The 24,783-nt window shown below is 44.1% G+C and overlaps 2 long non-coding RNA genes across 2 annotated transcripts in view; one reads left to right on the plus strand and one right to left on the minus strand.

Annotated features, from left to right (window-relative positions):
* The window catches only part of IL12A-AS1 (IL12A antisense RNA 1), a 293,693-nt gene that overhangs the window by 93,425 nt on the left and 175,485 nt on the right, over positions 1-24,783 (minus strand). The window contains exons 4-6 of the long non-coding RNA NR_108088.1: positions 18,646-18,710; positions 2,288-2,433; positions 958-1,051 (exon numbers count right to left, since the gene is read on the minus strand). This is a non-coding gene — a long non-coding RNA (IL12A antisense RNA 1). The remainder of the gene's footprint in view (positions 1-957; positions 1,052-2,287; positions 2,434-18,645; positions 18,711-24,783) is intronic.
* On the plus strand, positions 13,825-24,599 carry LINC01100 (long intergenic non-protein coding RNA 1100). The gene is made up of 3 exons (NR_104132.1): positions 13,825-13,920; positions 19,786-20,062; positions 24,355-24,599. It is a non-coding gene; the product is annotated as a long intergenic non-protein coding RNA 1100 (long non-coding RNA).

Genomic DNA, 24,783 nt, shown 5'->3' on the forward strand with positions numbered 1-24,783 from the left:
CAGGGCCATCTCAAAACCTGTATCAGACTCTAAACTCAACTTTTTAACAAGATCTCCAAGTGACTCTGTTAGGGTTGAGGCCTGACTTTTTTTTTTTTTTAAAGCAGTACAGTGAAATACTGAATAAGAAACTACCAGGGAAGTGACTTGATATCTCACAGAACATTGCAAAAATATGCAAAGGAAGTCAATCTATTAGTTTGTTGATTTTGATAACACATTGTCATCTCCCAAAAGGTTGGAAGTCCTTCATCTTTCTAAGTTAGATATGGCTCCAGGAAGACTGATCCAGCAGCATGGGCATTGGATGAATGTCAATGGGGGAGGCCAGGGAAAATGAGAATTCCATCAGAGGGAAGGAGCAGAAGAGGGGGATTAAACTCGGTTATTATCGGTTACTGGCAGTCGCCACTTGTGCTGCTTTTTGAAATGGTTCAGCTCTAATCATATTGAACTCAGTCACCTGTCAAGGTGTAAGAATCATCAGTTAGAAAAAGTGGTATGAAATTTGAACTAACGAAATCAATTTGTGAGAACATGCAAAACTCTAGGGTCTTGGCAATCTCTCTAAATTTCAAATATGAGTTTGAGGCCGCGCGTGGTGGTTCACGCCTGTAATCCCAGCACTTTGGGAGGCAGAGGCGGGCAGAATACTTGAGGTCAGGAGTTCGAGACCAGGCTGGCCAACATCGCGAAACCCCGTCCCTACTAAAAATACAAAAAATTAGCCAGGCATGGTGGCAGGCACCTCTGTAATCCCAGCTACTTGGGAGGCTGAGGCAGGAGAATCGCTTAAACCCAGGAGGCGGAGGTTGCAGTGAGCTGAGATCACACCATTGCACTCCAGCCTGGGCAACAAGAGTGAAACTCTGTCTCAAAAAAAAAAAAAACCTATAATTACTGTAAATAAAACACTGCTATCACTGGTATATGGAGGCCGGGTGCAGTGACTCTCACCTGTAATCCCAGCACTTTGGGAGGCCGAGGCATGTGAATCATGAAGTCAGGAGATCGAGACCATCCTGGCTAACACGGTGAAACCCCGTATCTACTAAAAATACAAAAAATTAGCCGGGCGTGGTAGCGGTGGCGCCTGTAGCCCCAGCTACTCGGGAGGCTGAGGCAGGAGAATGGTGTGAACCCGGGAGGCAGAGGTTGCAGTGAGCCGAGATCACGCCACTGCATTCCAGCCTGGGCAACAGAGCGAGACTCCATCTCAAAAAAAAAAAAAAAAAAAAAAAGAAGTCATAAAAATAAACATTTTATTTTGACTACCAAGAAAATAATTAGAAAGAATGAATAAGACCAACTATTTGATAGCACAACAGGGTAACTATAGTCAGTAATAACTTAATGGTATATGTTAAAATAACTTAAAGAGTGTAATTTGATTGTTTGTAACTCAATGGATAAACGCTTGAGGGGATGGATACCCCATTCTCCATGAAGTGCTTATTTCACATTGCATTTCTGTATCATAATATCTCACATATCCCATAAATATATACACCTACTATGTACCAAAACAATTTTTTCTTTCTTTTTTTTATTTTTTTGGAGGCGTAGTCTTGCTCTGTCTTCAGGCTGGAGTGCAGTGGCGCAATCTCAGCTCACTGCCACCTCCGCCTCTCAGGTTCAAGCGATTCTCCTGCCTCAGCCTCCCAAGTAGCTGAGACTACAGGCACATGCCACCATGCCCAGCTAATTTTTCTATTATTAGTAGAGACAGGTTTTCACCATGTTGGCCAGGATGGTCTCGATCTCTTGACCTCGTGATCCACTCGCCTCGGCCTCCCAAAGTGCTGGGATAACAGGCGTGAGACTCCTGGCCACAAAATTAAATATTAAAAAAACACATTTTGGCTGGGCACAGTAGCTCACACCTGTAATCCCAGCACTTTGGGAGGCCAAGGTGGGCAGATCACCTGAAGTCAGGAGTTCGAGACCAGCCTGACCAACATGGAGAAACCCCGTCTCTACTAAAAGTACAAAAAATTTTCTGGGCGTGGTGGCTCATGCCTGTAATCCCAGCTACTCGGGAGGCTGAGGTAGGAGAATAGCATGAACCGAGGAGGCAGAGGTTGTGTGAGCCAAGGGAGCGCCATTGCACTCCAGCCTGGGCAATAAGAGTGAAACTCCATCTCAAAAAAAAAAACAAAAAACACTTTTTATTTTAAATGTATTCATAGATGTATTCATAGAAATTCCAGCAAAATAATAGTCTCCTACAATATCACTCAGCACGTTGGAAAACACAGTACTGCAGAAGTTCCCTCTGGACACTTACTTTATTGTGATGCAACACCACGTTCCTTGTTTGAAATTTAGCCCCCTTCTGACAGGTGTCTGCATCTCAGGCAGCGTTTCCACAGCGCCCTTTAGTGAAGATGCCTTAATAGTGATGCATAGTCTCAATTAGCTATTGCCTTAGGCCTGAAAAAAAGAGCAGAGACCAGAAGCATCTTACAATGCAAAATATTATTAAAATAGATTCTAAACAAGTAAACCAGAGGTATTATAAAGTAGCTTTTTAAACAGCCAAGAAACTCAGTGTAGAAGAACATCTGTTATTCTGGGTGCTACCAGTTAAATATCCCTATTACTGAGGCATCTGCAGTGATGAAAAAGTCACACCTTTCAGGTTCATTTATTTGAACATAGCAATGAATACCACAAAAAACAACCCAATTCCTGACATAGAGAGTCCAAACTACCTCTTTATGCAGCTGTAATTTTAGCTTTGAATAAACTGGCCTGTTTTAAACTGGCTAATTGAATGGGATAGTATCTAGAGTAAAATTCAGCCACATCCATAGGAGAGGCTTATGCTTAAACTGAGACTGAGAATTCTAAACATGACTGAGTTCCAAAACAGTTTCCTTTTGAGAGACAAAGACATGACAGGAGACAGACTTCAATGGATGACCTGTGCACAGCACTCATTCTGTGCCAGCATTGGTTGTTACCAAATCATCTGTCCACATATAACTTGATGGATATAATAGAAACAAGTTGAAAAATGATTCAAAAGTTATTTAAGTGATAAGTAGGTGTACAGAAAACAGATCCATGATATCCCAATGTCATTACATTTATGGAGCAAAATAAAAATTCTACATGACAGAAGAAATATAATTTCTTGTCAGCAACATATAGTTTTTTAAGAGAGAGAAGAAATAAAAGAGTTGGTTAAAACTCCTTTAATGTCCATCTACTAAACTCATCTGTGTGCTTGCTTGCTTGCTTGCTTTTTTTTTTTTTTTTGAGACAGAGTCTCACTCTGTCATTCAGGCTGGAGTGCACTGGCACCATCATGACTCACTGCAGCCATCATGGCTCACAGCAGCCTTAACCTCCCAGGCTCAAGCTATCCTCCCATCTCAGCCTCCCAAGTAGCTGAGACCACAGGAACGCACCACCATGCCTGGCTAATTTTTAAAAATTTTTATAGAAATGGGGTCTCGGCCAGGCGCAGTGGCTCACGCCTATAATCCCAGCACTTTGGGAGGCCGAGGCAGGCGCATCACGAGGTCAGGAGTTCCAGACCAGCCTAACCAACATGGTGAAACCCCGTCTCTACTAAAAATACAAAAAAATTAAAAAAATTAGCAGGGGGTGGTGGTGCGTGCCTGTAATCCCAGCTACTTAGGAGGCTGAGGCAGGAGAATGGCTTGAACCCGGGAGGCGGAGGTTGCAGTGAGATGAGATTGCACCATTGCACTCCAGCCTGGGTGACAGAGCAAGACTCCACCTCAAAAAAAAAAGAACTGAGGTCTCCCTTTGTTGCCCAGGCTGGTGTCAAACTCCTGGCACCGAGGATCCACCTGCTTCTCCTTCCAAAAGCATTGGGATTACAGACATGAGCCACCATGCCCGGCCTGTGTGCTTTTCAGAATATCATAGTCAACACTGAATTGTGTGTGATACTGAGAAAGAGGTGAAGTATCATAACTGAAAATGCAAATGATGCAGAAATAACATCTGCTGCAAACTTGTATCAATGGCAGGAGAAACTTCAGTGCCATTTGTAGATGATGACACTATGGCCCTGAGCTCCCACATGGAGCCAGTGAATTTCAGTGGTCTCACTTCCATCCCATTCCTACTTTCCCTCTTTACGTTCGAAAATGTGTTTATTATACATGTATCTGTTATTCTAAAAAATTTCCTTCAAATAGAATAAGAAATCAAACTCAAAACAGCTGCAGGAGATGGAGGTGTATCTGGTGTTTCTCTCCATCTCCCTTCTCCCAGAGGAGGACCTCATGACCTGTAGCTCTCTCCAGCTTCTCCCAGGAGAAAGGAGGATATTAAAGGAGTGGTTGCAAGAGGGCTTCCCAGCACCAACATTAAACAAGGGAAATGCAGTCCCATGCCAAGGCTGTAATCATACACAGCAGGAGCAACCTGGTGAAGACCAAGCAGGCAGGGTCTGGCAAAGTAGCTAGGCCATCAGGCAGAGTGCAGATCCACCCCCAGGATACAGAAGAGACCCTGTCACAAGACCCCACATTCACATTAAGACAGCTAAGATGCAGACTTCTGCTGCCTTTGAACCAAACCAAACCAAACCAAACCCACTCCCAGCTGAGCACACCCACTATTAGAAGCATCCCCACACTCACTGTGAGCCCCACTGACCTCCAGGGATTTGGGCTGTGGGTGTCTGTGGAACCCAAGTGGAACCTCTGCTCCAGCAGCTGGGGCTTTGTTTCACTTAATCAAATCTTTAAATGTTATAGAGATGAGACAATTATTATATTTGCTTTCTCACCCTTTTCTACCCTCAGTTCCACTCACCCCACCCTGAAAACTAGTTTTTATTCAAGATAAAACTTACATTCTTTGTTTTCTATCCATACCATTTCTTCAGAATCCATTTTGGTCAAAAATAATTTAAACTCCACTGGTTGCACCAGACACATTTCAATATAACTTCCCAATTTTAAAACTTTACTATCAACAAATTCAATTTTCTTTAGAAAAGGAGATTTTTAAAATTCTACTTAGACTGGGCACAGTGGCTCATACCTATAATCCAAGGGGATTTAGGAGGCCAAAACAAGTAAATTCCTTGGGCCCAGGAGTTTGACACCAGCCTGGGCAAAATAGTGAGACTCCATGTCTAAAATAAAAAATTTTTTTTTAGTTAGACAAGCAAGATGGCACATTCCTGTGGTCCCAGCTACTCAGGAGGCTGAGATTAGAAGGATCGTTTGGGAAGCTGAGGCTGTAGTAAGCCATGATCACAGTATTGCACTTCAATCTAGGTGACAGAGAAAAACTCTATCTTGAAAAAAAAAGTGTATTAATTAATAAAATACCATATCAATATACGAAATAATGACAATTTAGAAGGGTTAGTGATTGCTTGGGTGGTAACTGAAACTGACTTTGGAAATCTCACTCTCAAGTCACACACGTGCTTTTCTTTTGCTTTCAGTTCCTCCTTACTCCACCCTGGTTTTCTACCTCATTGAGGCTTCCAGTCCCTAAACTCTATTTTTCTAAAGACTTATTTTTCAACTCTCTCTCAGTTTCAGTCTTTCATGTTATCAAACTGCAACACACACTTATCACCCACTGACCATGGTTTCATTGGAGCTTTCCAACCTCCTCATCATTTTTGCTAACTTGAATCATTCTCCAACCTGGAACTGGAGAACATTTACAGAAATAAGCTAATAGTTTAGTTGTCTCCCCTCACTGAATACCACCTTCCCCCCAGAAAGCCCTCTTATCACTATATTATGGACAGAGAACCTCAGAGGAGCTACTCCATTTGCCCAAGTCCTCCTCTAGGAAGGGGTAGAACTGGAATTTGAACCCCACTACATGCACTGGCCCTTGCCTCCCACCTCCTCGGCTCCTGTCCAGGTTTGACAGCAAGTCTGGAGGAAATACAGGAACAAAGCACTTAACTGCACTGGGCATTGCCATCGCCACCTGATTGCCTTAACCTGGCTCCTCTCTCTTTCCATTCCTAGTCCTAGAAACTTTTAAAGGATCCTCTGAGTGTCTGACAATCACCAGGGCCCATAGAGCTCAGAAAATGCCCTCCCATGACTCCACTTCTGCAAATCCTCCAAAGCTGCTTCTTTGGAATAAGCTACAAGGTTAACAAACTATTGTTTTTTCAGAAATAGGATTATAAAATGTGAGAACACAATGCACTATTTTGAAACATTGAAAATACCATATCTGGCCCGGCACGGTGGCTCACTCTTGTAATCCCAGCACTTTGGGAGGCTGAGGCAGGTGGATCACTTGAGGTCAGGAGTTCGAGAACAGCCTGGCCAATATGGTGAAACCCCGTCTCTACTAAAAATACAAAAATTAGCCGGGCGTGGTGGCACGCACTTGTAGTCCCAACTACTCGGGAGGCTGAGACAGGAGAATTGCTTGAACCCAGGAGGCAGAGGTTGCAGTGAGTGAAGATCATGCCATTGCACTCCAGCCTGGGCATTACAGCAAAATGCTGTCAAAAAAAAAAAAAGGAGAGAGAGAGAAAAGAGAAAGAAAGAGAGAGAGAAAGAAAGAAAGAGAAAGAGAAAGAAAGAAAGAAAGAAAGAAAGAAAGAAAGAAAGAAAGAAAGAAAGAAAGAAAAGAGAAAGAAAGAAAGAGAAAGAAAGAAAGAAAATACCATATCTAAGGGATATACATCTCTGCTGCTAATTCAAGTTGGTTTATAGAATATGTGTTTCTGGGCCAGGCGTGGTGGCTTACGTCTGTAATCCCAACATTTTGGGAGGCTAAAGCTCGCAGATCACTTGAGGTCAGGAGGTCGAGACCAGCCTGGCCAACACAGTGAAACCCCATCTCTACTAAACATACAAAAATAAGCCAGGCATGGTGGTACACACCTGTAATCCCAGCTACTTGGGATGCTGAGGCAGGAGAATCACTTGAACCCAGGAGGCAGAGGTTGCAGTAAGCCAAGATCGTGCCACTGCACTCCAGCCTAGGCCACAGAGCAACACTCTGTCTCAAAAAAAAAAAAAAGAAAAGAAAAGAAAAGAAAAGAAAAAGAATATGTATTTCTAGGGTAATTACAGTTTCTGGTTCACTCATCACTCTGTATTTATTTCCATTCTACAATAAATTCTGGCAAACAAGAGGCTTCTCCATTGTCATTAATTTCTCAGGGGATATCTTAGAAATATCCTACAAGTAGAAACAGACTTTGGTTTTGAAATTTGTCAGGAATAACTGTCAGAACTGTAAGAGTCCAAGCAGTGCATGTGGCACCTTACAATTATCTTCATATTCTTCTAGAAAACCACAGCAATTAAATAACTTTCACAGAGTCCAAAGAGACATGCCACAGAGGTCAAGGCACCTGTCATCTGACTTCAGGCTCCTGGATCTCCAAACCTCTTCCTGCGCAAACTCCACAGCCAAAAGAACACAGGTACCCCACGTGGCACAAGCAGCCTTCTTCTAAAAGATTTCAGAAAATTAAATAAGCACTAGCATCATACCTGTAGGCTAACTACATGCCCTTCATGCAAATACAATCTAACTTTATTTTTTTGAGGCAGCATCTCCATCTGTCACCTTGGCTGGAGTGATGTGGCTCACTGCAGCCTCAGCTTCCTGGGCTCAAGCTATCCTCTCTCTTCAGCTTACCAAATCGTTGGGACTACAGGTGCACACCACCACATCCAGCTAATTTTTAATTTTTTATAGAGACAGGGTCTTGCTAATTGCCCAGGCTGGTCTTGAACTTCTGGACTCAAGCAATCCTCCCATCTTGGCCTCCCAAATTTCTCGGATTACAGGCATAAACCACTCACTCAAACCACAATCTAATTTTTTGCTCTACAGGCTTCCATTCTACTCAGTTACTTTCTACTTAGCACTTTAGATGTTTTTATCCTCATTTTTACAACTATCCCTTGATATTTTCTATGTATGTTTCAAAGGCCACAAAGAGGTTAATGTAACCATTCTCCCAGGCTCCCCTGATAAAGCTGAACTTTAAATTTAGGTTTTCTGAAGGCCAAGTCCAAGGAAATCTTCTACATAGGAAAAAAACAATCAACCCAAGAAGAAAGGTGTAAAACATCAGCCAGGAAGGACGTCCAGCCTTTCCCATGCCATTGTCCCTGTTGTTCTTGGGGGAACCTCCCTCCGCATTAGCAGAATATGATCAGCTATTCTAGCTTCCCAGGAAGTGTGCATGAGGCCTTTCTAATTAACTTAATGTACTTGTTAAAAACATAAACCCATTAAATGGTACTACTTATTCTGAATTTGTGTTAATTACTTAAACTATAGTTCATTAATAAAGACAGTTTATTATAGACCTAATCCTTATTTTTCAACTGCTGTCAATCCCACATTTCAAATCAGAAAGTGGGATTTGTAGTCACCATTGCATCTGTCTACTTTGCTACTTTCAGTTCACCATCCACGTCTACCCTCATTTTAACTGGACTTACAATAGGTAAAGATGAGAAAGGAGATTCAATGCTGAATTACACAAAAGTTTAGAAAAATGGTTTAAACATTGCAGCTTTGTTCTATATTCTAGGAATCTCGTTCCATTATGAATATCCAAACCACCTCCCCTCAGGCCATAATGCCTTGCACCTAACAGGTGCTTAAATATGTATATTTGTGCAACAAAACCCAAAATGAACCCAATTTTTGTTTTTTCTTTTTCTTTTTCTTTTTTTTTTTTTTTTTTTTTTTTTTTTGAGACAGAGTCTCACTCTGTCACCCAGGCTGGAATACAGTGGCAAGATCTCAGCTCACTGCAGCCTCCTCCTCCCTGGTTCAAACAATTCTTATGCCTCAGCTGGGACTACAGGCGCACACCACCACTCCTGACTAATTTTTGTATTTTTGGTAGAGAAAACGCTTCACCATTTTGGCCAGGCTGGTCTTGAACTCCTGACCTCAGGTGATCTGCCCGCCTCGGCCTCCCAAAGTGCTGGGATTACAGGCGTGAGCCACTGCGCCTGACTCCAATTTTCTAAATCTGAAAAATTGCTCTGAAATTAGTTAACCTGGGAGGCCTATCTTATTTGAGGAGCTCTCAACCAAGGAGAAACCTCAAGTCACTCTACACTTGATCCTGAGATCTCATATGGCTCCCTAGTGTATTCTAGAACAGTTGCTTCTCAAATTCTGATGTGAACAAGAGTTGCCTTGGAATCCTGCCTACTGCAGATTACAGTGCTGCAGGTCTGGAGTGGGGCTGAGACTTCGCGTCTTAACAAGCTGCTCTCAGTTGATGCTGATCCTCATGGTACCTTGGTTCCCAGACCCCATTTTAAGCAGCAAGGCTGCAGAAAATAGATGCCCTAGGTTAAATATGGGGGAGTCCTCTCCATGGCCAGGCCTGGTACCAGCGCCCACACCAATTCTGGATAGCTCTTTCCCATCTGTTATCTTCTTTTCACACGTGGAAAAAACCTTGCGCCATGGATCTGAGGATGCAGCACACAATCCTCTGTAGGGAAGCTCCAAATTAGACCCCTAGTGGAGGAAAATTTAGATCAACAGGGACAGGACCCACCTCAGTGTGGAGTTAGGTTTAACCACAAAGTCTTAGACATTTATTATTCATTTCACTTTACTTTGAGGAAGGACTCGTTATTGGTTGCTCTGTACATGTTAAAAGTCAAGGATGGGGCCAGGTATGGTGGCTCACGCCTGTAATCCCAGCACTTTGGGAAGCCAAGGCAGGTAGATCACAAAGTCAGGAGTTCGAGACCAGCCTGGCCAACATGGTGAAACCCTGTCACTACTAAAAATACAAAAATTAGCCAGGCATGGTGGCAGGTGCCTGTAATCCCAGCTACTTGGGAGGCTGAGGGAGGAGAATCGCTTGAACACGGGAGGCAGAGGTTGCAGTGAGCTGAGATCGCGCCATTGCACTCCAGCCTGGGCAACAGAGCAAGACTCTGCCTCAAGAAAAAAACCTCAAGGATGGGTAACGATCAATGACTTTGCACAGAATCAAGGGCCCATAATGGCACACTGTTTCTTTGTTTAAAATATCAGGACCCAGAGGAGAAAGAGAGCTCATGTACCATTTGGCATGGGATACACAGTGATCCATAGTACCTTCTAATGTGGATGCAGAACTTTTAACATATAAGACTTTGACATGATGTTGGAATCATGGTCTGTTAAAATATGAAGCTAAATTGGTGTTCCAGGCATTGTATGGGTTGCATACATATTGGCATGCACACACATACACACAATGCACACACTATTAAACTTCTGGCAAGCAATGACTTTTGACCCAAGCAGAGAGAATTTGGAAACTGAAAGGAGGCAAGAGAGGGTGAGTCACAGTTAACATCAATCAAAGGTCCAGTGTCAAGCCAGGCTCAACAGCAAAGTCTACATATTTGGCTCCAGGACAAAACATGATACTTGATCTCAACTTCTTTTCTGTTGACCTCAAATAAAGTTTTCAGTTTCCGAACATTGGAATACTCCCTCTGAGTCTACCAGTCTATGTTGGACAGACAAGAACACCTGTTTAGTTCTAATTTTTTCTTTCTTTCTTTCTTTCTTTTTTTTTTTTTTTTGAGACGAAGTTTCACTCTTGTTGCCCAGGCTGGAGTGCAATGGCGATCTTGGCTCACTGCAACCTCCACCTTCCAGGTACAAACAATTCTCCTGACTCAGCCTCCCGAGTAGCTGGGACTACAGGCACACGCCACCACCATGCCCGCCTAATTTTTGTATTTTTAGTAGAGATGGGGTTTCGCCATGTTGACCAGTCTGGTCTCAAACTCCTGACCTCAGATGATCCACCCACCTCGGCCTCCCAAAGTGCTGGGATTACAGGCGTGAGTCACCACGCCCAGCCTAGTTCTAATTTTTACATAGAAGAAGACTTCTTAAAATAATTACGGGTTTTTATTTCATTCAAAAGCACTAAGAGGCCAGGAGCGGTGGCTCACGCCTATAATTCCAGAACTTTTGGAGGCTGAGGCGGGCGGGTCACTTGAGGCCAGGAGTTTGAGACCAGCCCAGCCAACATGGCAAAACCCCGTCTCTACTAAAAATACAAAAATTAGCCAGGCGTGGTGGTGCACACCTGTAATCCCAGTTACTTAGGAGGCTAAGGCAGGAGGATCTCTTGAACCCAGGAGGCGGAGGTTGCAGTGAGCCAAGATCATGCCACTGCACTCCAGCCTGGGTGAGAGAGAGAGAGAGAGAGAGAGAGAGAAAGAGAAAGGAAGGAAGGAAGGAAGGAAGGAAGGAAGGAAGGAAGGAAGGAAGGAAGGAACTAAGAGAACTCAATAGCACTCTGTCAGAGCATCATTATCCAAGGAAACAATCAAAGTGACTACATAAGATATGTGAACGTGACTTACGCACCTTTGTTTTTCTCCTACTAGAGTTAGTTTTATGTAAAAACTTAAATGATCAAAGATATTAGGTATCCTGCATTCACAATTACTTACAAAAACTGTGCCTGGGAAAGGAGCCCAGTGATCACTTGTTCACTGTGTGTGTCTGGGAAAAAGTACATAGATAATATATAAGTACTATATAAATAATTTTTTTTTTTTTTTTTGAGATGGAATATCGCTCTGTCACCCAGGCTGGAGTGCAGTGGCGCGATCTTGGCTCACTGCAAGTTCTGCCTCCCTGGTTCATGCCATTCTCCTGCCTCAGCCTCCTGAGTAGCTGGGACTACAAGTGCCTGCCACCACGCCCAGCTAATTTTTTGTATTTTTAGTAGAGACGGGGTTTCACCGTGTTAGCCAGGATGGTCTCCATCTCCTGACCTCATGATCCACCCACCTTGGCCTCCCAAAGTGCTGGGATTACAAGTGTGAGCCACCACACCCAGCCAATAAATGCTTTCTTAAAGCAATTTACAGAATTCTATTTTATAGTAAAAATGAATTTTCAGCAGTACAGTGTTCACAGTGAGATTGGATTTTATTAAATTATATATGATAGAAAAAATGTTACTTATATGTATAAAGTAAAATAAACGTGATTGGCATTTTTAAACAAAATTTTTAAAATAAAGGTATACAATATGCCCAGATTACATAATTCAAAAAGTGCATGCCACTCAACAATGCTGGCACTTAAAAGACTATTTTGGAAAATGTAAGGTTATACCTGTGTGACAACGATCTGTGGGCATGGCTTTATCCTCCGACTCTTCAGCTGTGAAAGATGTTGTCACTTGTGTATTGGCACAAATCCATCCTGGGTTAGTCGTTGACTACTCCAACACCCACTTCAGGCTTTATAGCCAAGGGCAACTTTAAATAAACATTTAAACATCCTAAGTGGTCAATTCAATGACACCCCTCACAGGTCCAATGTATGACAATGCTGTTGAATGTGCCTCTTCATTTCAGCACACTGCCTTCAGGCAGGTAAGTGTTTTATTAGATCTTTTTCCAGAACTGCAACCACTCCTGCTCTCTCATCACCCTTTAACACAATCCTCACGTCCTCCTCTCGCCGCAAGCACATGGGAGAATGGGAGGAATTACAGAAAACAGGAAGGCAAGCTCACTGCCTCACAAAAGATTCCTTGGTGGAAGACTTTCCCAGTTCCCTTCCGCAGAAACAATGAAGGTCTGAGGACATGGGGTTATCATCAATCTCTTCATTACAGTCACTCATCTCAGAGACCAGCATTGCAACTGGAGGGCAGCTGCTCCCATTCGAGAGTCACCTGGGGCGACCAGGACCCCAGAACTCTGCTAGAGTCTCACAGTGCTCACAATGGCACTTAGCCTTGGCTGCCATCAGCCTTCCAGGCTCCTTATGCAGTTCAGAAACATGTGTTTGGAAGTAAGAAAGGCACTAGGGCCAGGCGTGGTGGCTCACACTTGTAATCCCAACACTTTGGGAGGCTGAGGCAGGTGGATCACGAGGTCAGGAGTTCAAGACCAGCCTGGCCAATGTGGTGAAACCCTGTCTGTACTAAAAATGCAAAAATTAGCCGGGTGTGGTGCCGGGCACTTGTAGTCCCAGCTACTCAAGAGACTGAGGCAGGAGAATCACCTGAACCCAGGAGGCAGAGGTTGCAGTAAACCAAGATCGTGCCACTGCCCTCCAGTCTGGGCAACAGGGCAAGACTTCGAAAGAAAGAAAAGAAAGAAAGAAAGAAAGAAAGAAAGAAAGAAAGAAAGAAAGAAAGAAAGAAAGAAAGAAAGAAAGAAAGAAAGAAAGAAAGAAAGAAAGAAAGAAAGAAAGAAAGAAAGAAAGAAAGAAAGAAAGAAAGAAGGAAAGAAGGAAGGAAGGAAGGAAGGAAGGAAGGAAGGAAGGAAGGAAGGAAAGCAAGCAAGCAAGCGAGAGAGAGAGAAAGAAAGAAACAAACAAAGAAACAAAGAAGAAAGAAAGAAAGAGAAGAAAGTGAGAAAGAGAAGAAAGAGAGAAAGGAAGGAAGGATGGAAGGAAGGAAGGAGAGAGAGAGAGAAAGAAAGAAGAAGGAAAGAAAGAAAGAAAGAAAGGAAAGAAGGAGGGAAGGCAGGCAGGCAGGCACTGACACCTGGTTTCAGGTGACTTTAAAAGGGACCTATTCTGAGAGACTCCGTTTCACAGGAGCTTCTTTCAGTGTGGCCAGGGCCCTCTAGGATCTCATTGCCCTTTCCTCCGTCTCCTCCCAGCCTCCCTGCACTTGCTGTCCTCCAGCCATTCCTTGCCATTTCTTTTCAAAGGCACGCTCCTGCCTCAGGGCCTTTGCACTTACTGTCTTCCCCCACAAATAGCCCTGTTGCTCACTCCCCTCATATCCTCTGGTCTCTGCTCAGATGCTGCCCTATCAGAGAGAATCTCCTGACACAACCACTCTCCCCTTTCCTTTTCTTTCAGGGAATGGGCCACTCCTGGCACCCTGCACATTTTAGCATTTGTTTCCTGTCTCTCCCCACTAGAATGCAAGCTGCAGAGGAATTGTATCCGTAGCACCTGGTAAGTGCTCAATGACCACTTTTTCAAGGACCACATTTCCATAATATTAAAATGTATTATGAGAGGGAAGAGCAGTGAATTTTCCTGTTATCTGCACTGGCCACGTGTTGCCTGAGCATGTGCCTTTATGTGTGTAATTGAGTCTCTCTGTGCCTCACTTTCCTTATCTGTTAAATGGGAGTTACAATATTATCACCTCCACAAAGTTATGGAAATTAAATCACAGGTGGGGATTGTGCCTGGCAGGCAGCAAGCACTCGGTAAGTGTTAGCTATCTGATATTAACTATTATTTTGCTATGGATATGGGTGTGGACCATGTAAAAATGCAAGGCTTCAAAAGTAGACAACAACCTGCTTCAAAAGTAGACAACAACCTACTTCAAAAGTAGGTATAAACACTTGGGGTTCATACCTAATGTGCCACGAGATGGGCTTTGGACCTTCCAGATCTGAGCCACCTTTGGGAGGGTCGCGTGAAGGGAAGCTAGGCACTCCTGCTCAGCATGATTGGCAAGGTCCTTATGCCAGCACTAGTGCCCAGAAAGTGCAGGCAGTTCCAGCTGTTGCCACAACTGCTGCCTAGACAATTGGCCTATCAGGGCAGTGTTGGGGGACCAGGGATTGCAAGAGAACCAGCTTTTAAAAACAGCATTGAAGATAAAATGGCAAATAAAGACTAAAAGTTTTCAGAATCCTTGTCTCAGAAGGTTCTAGGCTGATCTGAAGGTTCTGAAACACAGACATGAGTCTTGTCTTGCTTGAACTTATCCTGTTTTTCACTTTCCTTGACAACTAGAAGTTATTTTATTTACCATATAAATACTTTTCCAATGCTGTCTAAAACCATGCTTGTAATTAATATATCTGGAAACAACAATTAATAAATGATGTGTGTATTACTTTAAAATAAAAATAAAGGTTTCTATGTAATTTCCGTAATTAAGGAGATTAATATCTTACTTAACAGACTTACATCCAGAACTGCTCTCAGAACTGTTGTCCTGTCTTAAATGAAAACAAAGGTCAGGAAATGCACACACTGAATAAAGAGTAGAAATGATTTATTTTAAAAATCATACATTTTGTAAAACAGATCCAAACTCAATTAATTTCTTTTCTAAATTCTCCCTGAGTCCACAACCAGTCTGTTTCACATCAAAGGAGCCTGTTCGTCTTTGAAAATGGATAAAAGAGAATTTAATTGTTTGAATTTGAGCTCAAATCACAAGTCTGGCTTTAATACTAATTTCATTTGGTGTCACCCAAGTCCTACCCAGCCTTGACTCGGCCCTGCTCCTCCAGTCTTACCCCTCTACCCACACATCTAGAAGGCTGACATGCACGACTTCAATGATACAACCTTGCAGAAAGCTGGAGTGGGAATGCCATTTCTCCATTGGCCTTCTCGTTCTTCTCTGTCATCCCACCTCCAGCTGCTAACGCCCCAGGCCCCACTGCCCACTCCCAGCCTCCTTTCCACGTTGAGAGCCCAGGGAGGGCATCTAACCTACTCCCCAATCTGCAAATCTAATCTCCACCCCCAGAAGCACCCGACGTCTCTCCTACTCGACCTCACAGGTGCGCCCCATGCACAGTCCTGCCCAGCACAAGCACATGGCCTCACTCCCACGTCTCCTTATTTCCCTGACACAGCCTCACCCTCCACTCAGGCTCAGGATTAAATGAGGAAATATAGGGAAAGATATGAACACTATTCTCAAATCTTTCCCTCCCTCCATATAACTATAGACAACCAGAACCAAGGATCGGCAGTTGTTACATGGAGGAAGGAAAAAGATTTGAACTAATGAAAAGAACAATAATAATAGCAGCTAATAGCGGCATATTTTTTTTCTTTTTTGAGACAAGATCTCACTATGTTGCCCAGGCTGAACTCAAAGAACTCCTGGGCTCAAGAGATCCTCCTGACTTAGCCTCAGAAGTAGCTGGAACTGCAGGTGGGCACCACCGCACATGGCTAATAGCAGATTTTTGTGAGTGCCCACTATGTGGTAGGCACTGTCTATATATTCTCATATACACATATGACTAATATGCATATACTTGTGTGTGTCTACATAAGCACAAACACTTCGCATATATCTCAATAATGGGGGTGGGGCTCAGCTAACCAGTTGAAGGCTTTAAGAGCAAAAATTGAGGTTTTAGAGGGAAGGAATTCTGCCGCGACTTTAGCATCAATTCTTGCACATTTCCTGCCTGTCCTGCACATTTCAGACTTGCCAGTCCCCACAATCACACAGGCCAATTCCTTGAAATGAATCTTTTCTATATCTTACATACAAATGCATATGTTTCTCTAGAGAACCCTGATACATACAGGGGAAATCTGAAAATGGATTATCTGCGGCAGCAGGAGGAAGAAAAAGAGAGGCACAAGTGGCCCTGTGATGGTTAATATTATGTGTCGGCTTGACTGGCCTGCAGCACCTGAACCCTGCCAGGCACCAGGAGGCTTCAGGGAGAACACGAGCTTGCTCAGATAATGAGGTCAAGTCCTCTAAGCCCCTCTGCCCTGCACCAGGTAAAAGATCAGAACAGGACAGTGGGAAGGGCCCGGAGAAGCATCTGCACCTGACTCCCCAGGGGCAAGGTGGGCTGGAGGTAGGTGACAAGGTTTGGCTCCCAAACGGGCACTGGCCAAAAACAAATGGACCAGCAGGGCCAAGTGACATGGCAGAAGACCAGGTGGGTGACTCGGTCACCACTTTCAAACATCCCCAAAGTTATAGTAAGCATCAAGAGACCACTTACTAGAGTCTCACTGTTAAGAGTAAAAAGAGATTGTGTATGCAAACAATTAGAAAAATCAGAAATAACTAATGTTTAAACAAAACCTAACACCGTAATACTTCAAGACCTTTGGGCTCATAGTCTGCCTGACTCATAGGAAGTGGACAGGATGGCTCAGAGCACTGTCAAGGACCTCACTTGACCTCCTGCAAGTCAGTTCTTCTCAGGACAAAGTGGACTTTTCCACAAGTTTGCCTTTAGCAATATTATAATAAACTGCACTTCAACTGTCTTGAACAAACTCACAGCTCCACACCAATGCAGTCTTAAAAATGAGACTGGCCAGTGGCTCACACCTGTCATCTCAGCACTTTGCGAGGCCGAGGTGGGTGGATCACCTGAGGTTGGGAGTTCGAGACCAGCCTGACCAAAATGGAGAAACCCCATCTCTACTAAAAATACAAAATTAGCTGGGCATGGTGGTGCATGCCTGTAATCCCAGCTACTCAGGAGGCTGAGGCAGGAGAATCGCTTGAGCCCCAGAAGCGGAGGTTGCGGTGAGCCAAGATCAAGCCATTGCACTCCAGCCTGGGCAACAAGAGTAAAACTCTGTCTCAAAAAAAAAAAAGAGACAGGCATCCCACATCAATGCTTCCAAGGTGTGTACCCTTTTGATCTGGCAATTCTGCCTAGAAGGTCATCTGAGGAAGTGGCCAGGAGAGCACAAACACACACATTTACAGATGCTCATCACAGTGTCACTTTGAGGACTTAAACAGAAACTCTGTGAGTTATAAGATCATTGAAGAGCTGTGACTTTAACCTCTCCACCTTACTTCCTCCCTAGATTCCTCTAGGAACAGAAAAATACAGATTCCTCAAGAACTATTAGAATACATACATAAAACTTACTGACACGGAAGATGCCCACTTCATATGCGGTGTGCGTCATGGCCCCATTGTAGAGCCTTCTTTCATTTTAAACAGCATTACTGGCCGGGCACGGTGGCTCATGCCTGTAATCCCAGAACTTTGGGAGGCCAAGGCAGGTAAATCACCTGAGGTCAGGAGTTCAAGACCAGCCTGACCAACATGGTGAAACCCTGTCTCTACTAAAAATATAAAAAGTTGGCGGGGCGCGGCGGCTCACACCTGTAATCCCAGCACATTGGGAGGCCGAGGCAGCGGATCACGAGGTCAGGAGATTGAGACCATCCTGGCTAACATGGTGAAACCCCGTATTTACTAAAATACAAAAAATTAGCGGGTGTGGTGGTGGGCGCCTGTAGTCCCAGCTACTCGGGAGGCTGAGGCAGGAGAATGGCATGAATCCGGGAAGCAGAGCCTGCAGTGAGCCAAGATCCCGCCACTGCACTCCAGCCTGGGGGACAGAGCAAGACTCTGTCTCAAAAAAAACAAAACAACAACAACAAAAAAGTTAGCCGGGCGTTGTGGTGCATGCCTGTAATCCCAGCTACTCGGGAGGCTGAGGCAGGAGAATTGCTTGAATCTGGGAGGCAGAGGTTGCAGAAAGCGGAGATCGCAACATTGGACTCCAGCCTGGTCAAGAAGAGCAAAACTCCATCTCAAATAATAATAATAATAATAATAAAATAATAAATAAACAGCATTACTGTGGCTGGCCACACAGGAGCCTCCTAGAAGAGTCTACAGCATTGTGAGGTGTTCATTATCTTTGGGCAGAAGGAATACATGTGATCTTTATTTTCTTCTTTCTTCTTACATTACTCTACATTTTCTGAACTTTTGCAAATCATATAAATAACTTAGAAATCACAATAAACAAAGCTATTGTTGTGCATCTGCAGGTGTCTCCTAAATGTTATAAGCCCTAAGATTACCCATAAGGGTAATTGAGAGTACTGAGAGGCTTCAATATCATCAAATTCATAATTACATCAAACAATATATTTATGAATAGACGTATTTCCAAAACAGGCCCCCTCACCTTTTCTAGAGCTAAGATTTTGATCCATAAAGACTTACTTCTCCATTGCCTTCAATTAGACCAACCTGCAGAAAATAATAATAATAATAAGTACAATATCTAGAAGAACTGCAAGGCAAATGTTAGCAAAATCATCCTTGTCAAATGTTTCTATAAAATATCAGAAGCAGATACATGACTGACATGCAAACTCCACCAACAACCAGAAGAACGCCTAAGTCTTTGGAGCAATGCTGAAACTGTGGTTACTTCCAGTTACCAAAATGCCACACTCTCCTAGAAAATGGTTATGACTTGGAGAATCCATTAAAAATCAAGAAAGTTTTCATAACAGAGGAACATTTTCAAAAAAATAGAATGTTAAATGAAAAGTAGCATATGTTTATAATACAGAATATGAACACATAGTCAAGCATCCTAAGAAGGAATCTTACAGGAATTGTCAGCCTTATCTGGCTTCTCCAGAAATGCAAGACCTTCCATTCTGTCCCTATTCTAAGGGAAATGTCAGTTCCCAGGGGCAGGGCTCTTCCACGGATCCACAACCTAAGAGGAAGCCTCAGAGGCACAGGCTCTGGGAGTACCAGGTGGCAGCTTCAACCCAGAAGCGCACTCGAGTGCAGTGCACTTGAACTCTCCAGGTCAACTGTGGAAGGCCCCTTAGCTCAGGCAGTGGGATGGGTGATAGGAATGGGTTTATTGACTTCATAGAGTATAAAATAAACAATTCAAATACACCCAAATGCACTCTTTCATAAAAGAAACGGAAGTAACAAATTCTGACCCCATGATGAGACCCCAGATAAACGTTAGGGGTCACCAGGGGTGAAGGGAACTGGCAACAAGTCAGGTGGCCAAGACTCAAAGCCTGCCAAGACCACTGGGCACTTTTTTGGACTTCCTGAAAACTCCACATGCCTATAAAATACGAGAAAAACAAGAGCTTCCCATGAGCTCTTGACTATCCCAGGATCACACCCAGTTTGGGCTAGAAAGACCCCCATGAGGGATCCACCACAGCGAAACCAGTTGAACTGCCCTTTCCTGAGCCTCTCTGTGCTCCAGGCACTGCCCCATCCCTCCCACGAGACCTGACGGGAAGCGGGTTAAGGTGGTTTCATGTTGACCATGTGTCCACAGGCTTCGCAGACCAAGAGCAAGTCGGCACACCAGGACAGGCACTCGCATGGGTGCCCAGAAGTTTCAAGATCTGACCTTGGAGAGACCAGGTCCGGGAGGCTGCCGGGAAGTCTCCATCACACCGGCCTCAGCCGAGTCACAGGAACGCAGGCTCTGCCATGCCCAGAAGCCTGAGATGCAACTTCAAGGACAACGGGAGCCAGAACGCTTGACCTCACACGGAAGGTGACTCCTAACCACCACCACACTTGACGTAGCACCAGCACACGGAGATTAGGTGAGAGTGGGCTCTGGTGCAAAGATAACAGTGCTGGGGACCTGTAAGCCAGTCACTGACCAAAGGTGGATGTGGCCTGCTGGATAAGGGCAGGGGGAAAGGCTGGAGGGAAAGGCCACAAGGTTAAGAGCAGGTAGTAAGACCAGGTGACTGAGGCCTGGTGTGTGAGGCTAGAAGGACAGAGCACCCAGTTAAGGCAGGGTGGTTAAAGCAAAGTGGGCAAGGCCAGGAGAATAAGACTGGGTGAGTAGGACTAGGGGGCTGATAAGGCCAAGTAGAAACTCTAGGTAAGTAAGGCAAAGTGGTATGGCCAAAAGCTAGTGCCAGGTGAGTAAGGCCTAATTGCTAAGGCCAGGAGATCAAAACCAGGTGGATAATACCAGGTGGGTAAGCACAATGGGTAAGACCATGAGGTTAAGACCAGGTGAGTAACACCAGAAGGTTAATAGAAACAGGCTGGTAAGGCAAGGAGGTTAAGGCCAGGTAAGTAAGAACAGGTAGGTAAGACTAGGGGGTAAGACCGGGGGACAAGGTCAGGAAGCTATGGCCAGATTGGTAAAACCAGAAGGTTAAGGCCACTAGTTGGGTAAGGAACAGTGGGTACAACCAGAAGTGGAAAGCTAAATCTGAAGGCCAGATGTAAAGGTCAGGTGTGTAAAGTACGATGAAGACCAGGTAAGTAAACTAGGAGGATAATGCAAGTTGGTAAAGCCATGAGAATAAAGCCAGCAGGGAAAGCCCGATCTGTGTAGTGTGAGTCAGAGCACACACTTTAGAGCCAGAAGGTTGGGCTCAGATTTCAGTTTCACCCTTTCCTAGATGAAGACTGGAGCAAGTGGAGTAGCTTCTCAGAGGTTCTTTGTCCATCACATAGTGATAAGGCCAGGTGCAGTGGCCCATACCTGTAATCTCAGTGCTTTGGGAGGCCAAGGTGAGCAGATCATTTGAGCCCAGAAGTTTGAGACCAGCCTGCGCAACATGGCAAAACCCCATCTCTAACAACAACAACAACAAACTCATAGTGATAAGAGGGTTTGTTAGGGAAATATGTTATTCAGTGAGGAGAGGCAGTTAAACCACTAGCTTAGTTCTGTAAATGCTGAGTCATTTCCAGATTGGAGAATGATTTAAGCAAAGATGGTGAGGAGGTTAGAAAGCTCTTAGGAAACGGTTGTCAACGGTAAACTCATGTCCCAGTTTGAAACATGAAACACTGTGAAACTATGAGAGGGCAGAAAAATAAGACTTCGGAAAAATGGAGGTGAGGGTCTAGAAGCCTCAATGAAGTAGTAAAACAGGGTCTGGAAGGCGGGGCTGGTAGCAAAAGAAAAGAAGGTGTGTGATTCCAGATGCGGATTCCCAAGGTCAAAGTTTCAGTTGCCACTCAAGCAATCTAACCCTTCTAACTGTCATCATTTTGTATCTTGATATTGTATATTATCAACTAATACAACTTTTTAATTTAAAAAGTTTTCTTAAAGGAAACTGATATTAAGGATTCACTTTTAAAATTATAAAGTTTGCCAGGTACAGTGGCTCACACCTGTAATCCTAGCACTTTAGCACTTTGGGAGACAGAGGCAGCAGGATGGCTTCAGACCAAGATTCAAGAACAGCCTGGGCCCCCTAGCAAGACCTCCATCTCTACAAAAAATAAACATTAGCCTGGTGTGGTGGTGTGTACCTGTAGCCAGCTACTTGGAAGGCTGAGGCAGGATCTCTTGGGCCCAGGAGTTTAAGGCTGCAGTGAGCTATGATTGCACCACTGCACTCCAGCCTGAGCAACAGAGTAAGACCCTGTCTCAAAAAATAATACATAAAATAGTTATATTGAAGTGTATCCAGAGAAACCAGTGGGAATTTAAATTACTTTTGGTTGAAATGGATTCTGAGGAAATTATACGGACAGAAAACTGAGATAATGTAAGTTGTATCTTGAATAAAAACTCTGATTTTGGCTGGGCATGGTCACTTACACCTGTAATCTCAGAGCTTTGGGAGGCTGAGGCAGGAGGATCACTTGAGCCCAGGGGTTCAAGACCAGCCTGGGCAACATAGGGAGACCCTCATGTCTAAAAAAATTTTTAAATAAATAAACTGGTTTTGGGGTGGGGTGGGTGGAGCTGGGGACGGAGGAGTAAAAAACATAATTGTCCCATCACTATAGCATTTAAAGATTTGACTAAGCAAAACAAAAGCCCCAGCTTCTGGAGCAGAGGTGCTGGCACTGGTTCCACAGGCACCCACAGCACAAATCCCTGGAGGTCAGTGGGGTGCACAGCTAGTGTGGGAACACTTCAAATAGTCGGTGTGCTCAGCCAGGAGTGGAATTGGTTTGCTTTGGTCTGTTTTAGCAGTGCAGAAGCTTGATTGATTTGATTTCTTCATCCTTTACATTTTGGATTATATTTCACATCTTTCCCAATAAGTAACACACACAACCCAGTATTGGTTATCATATCATTCTGAAAAGCATCACAAGGGGCTAAGTAGCTGGACATCAAAGGAGTTTTAACCCACTCTTCTCTTTCTTCTGTCCTCCAGAATTTGTTTGTTTGCTTGTTTGTTTTTTGGAGATGGAGTCTCGCTCTGTCACCCAGTGCAGTGGTGCTATCTTGACTCACTGTAACCTCCGTCTCCCGGGTTCAAGCAATTCTCCTGCCTCAACCTCCTGAGTAGCTGGGACTACAGGCATGCAAAACCACTCCCGGCTAATTTTTTGTATTTTAGTAGAGACAGAGTTTCACCATGTTGCCCAGGCTGGTCTTGAAATCCTGAGTTCAGGCAATCTGCCCACCTCGGCCTCCCAAAGTGCTAGGATTACACCTGTAATCAGTGACCGCACCCAGCCCTTTTCTTTTTTTCTTTTGAGACAGAGTCTAACTCTGTCACCCAGGCTGGAGTACAGTGGCGCAATCTTAGTTCACTGCAACCTCTGCCTCCCGGGTTCAAGCGATTCTTATGCCTCAGCTTCTCAAGTAGCTGGGATTACTGGCCCGCGTCCCCAAGCCCAGCTAATTTTTGTATTTGTAGTAGAGATGCGGTTTCACCATGTTGGCCAGGCTGGGCTTGAACTCCTGGCCTCAAGTGATCCACCTGCCTCAGCCTCCTAAAGTTCTGGGATTACAGGCATGAGCCACCATGCCCGGCCTCTGTCCTCCAGAATTTTTATTTTGCTGCATAAATGTAATGATATTAGGGATCTGTTAGGTATTCCATACATCTACTTATCTGAATAACTTTTGAATCATTTCTTAACTTGTTTCTATGGTATCCATCAGGTTATATGTGGACAGATGATCTGGTAAGTACTGGTAATGATGCAGAAGAAGTGCTCTGCACCAGTCATCCATTGATGTCTGTTTTCCAAGACACAGAATTACGATCATTACGGATCATTATTTCCCATCATGTGTTTATCTTTCAAAAGGAAATGGTTTTTGATTTTCAGTTGTTTTGGAATTCAGCCTTTCCTATGGATGTGACTGATTTTTGCTCTCTATATTTTACCCTTCAATTAGCAACTTTAAAACAGGCCTGTTGGGCCGCATGTGGTGGCTCACGCCTGTAATCCCAGCACTTTGGGAGGCTGAGGCAGGCAGATCACCTGAGGTCGGGAGTTCGAGACCAGTCTGACCAACATGGAGAAACCCCGTCTCTAATAAAAATACAAAATTAGCCGGGCATGGTGGCACATGCCTGTAATCCCAGCTATTTGGGAGGCTAAGGCAGGGAAATAGCTTGAACCTGGCGGGTGGAGGTTGCAGTGAGCCAAGATGGTGCCACTGCACTCCAGCCTGGGCAACAAGAGTGAAACTCCGTCTCAAAAACAAAACAAACAAACAAAAACCAAAAAACCACAACAGGCCTGTTTAGTCAAGCTAAAATTTCTGATCCATAAAGAGTCCTAGTTGGGACATTGTGTTATTTTTATTTATTTACTTATTTTTGAGATGGAGTCTCGCTCTGTCGCCAGGCTGGAGTGCAGTGGCGTGATTTTAGCTCGCTGCAACCTCCCCCTTTGGGGTTCAAGTGATTCTCCTGCCTCATTCTCCTGAGTAGCTGGGACTACAGGCACCCGCCACCATACCCAGCTAATTGTTGTATTTTTAGTAGAGACGGGGCTTCACCATGTTGGCCAGGATGGTCTCGATCTCTTGACCTCATGATCCACCCACCTCAGCCTCCCAAAGTGCTGGGATTACAGGCGTAAGACACTGCGCCCGGCCTTAGAATCTTCTTTAATAATTATCAGCACTGTAAGATGTTTCTGGTCTCCACTCTTTTTTCAGGCCTACACCAATGGCTAATTGAGACCATGCATCACTATTAAGGCATCTTCAGCAAAAGGAACTATGGAAGTTCTGCATGAAACATAGACACCTGTTAGAAAAGGAACTAAATTTCAAACCGGGAATGTGGTGTTGAATCACAGCAAAGTGTCCAGAAGGAACTCCCAAAGTACTGTTTTCCAAAATATAGAATGATATAGAAGATTGTTTTAGGTGGAATTCCTGGAAATAAATTTTTAAATGTTTCTTTTTGACTTCCTTTTCATATGGCAAATGATACCAATGTTCCATTTATATTAGTTATGAATTTAAAGAAATATTGAGGAAATCACATTTCACCTGGCATATGAGTATGGGAAAAATCATGACAATGGAAGGCAAATGACTTAAGTTTGGGAAACATTTGGCTGAGAGGATGTGTTGGAAAGC

The sequence above is a fragment of the Homo sapiens genome, chromosome 3 (assembly GCF_000001405.40).
Source record: "Homo sapiens chromosome 3, GRCh38.p14 Primary Assembly".
NCBI lineage: Eukaryota > Metazoa > Chordata > Mammalia > Primates > Hominidae > Homo > Homo sapiens.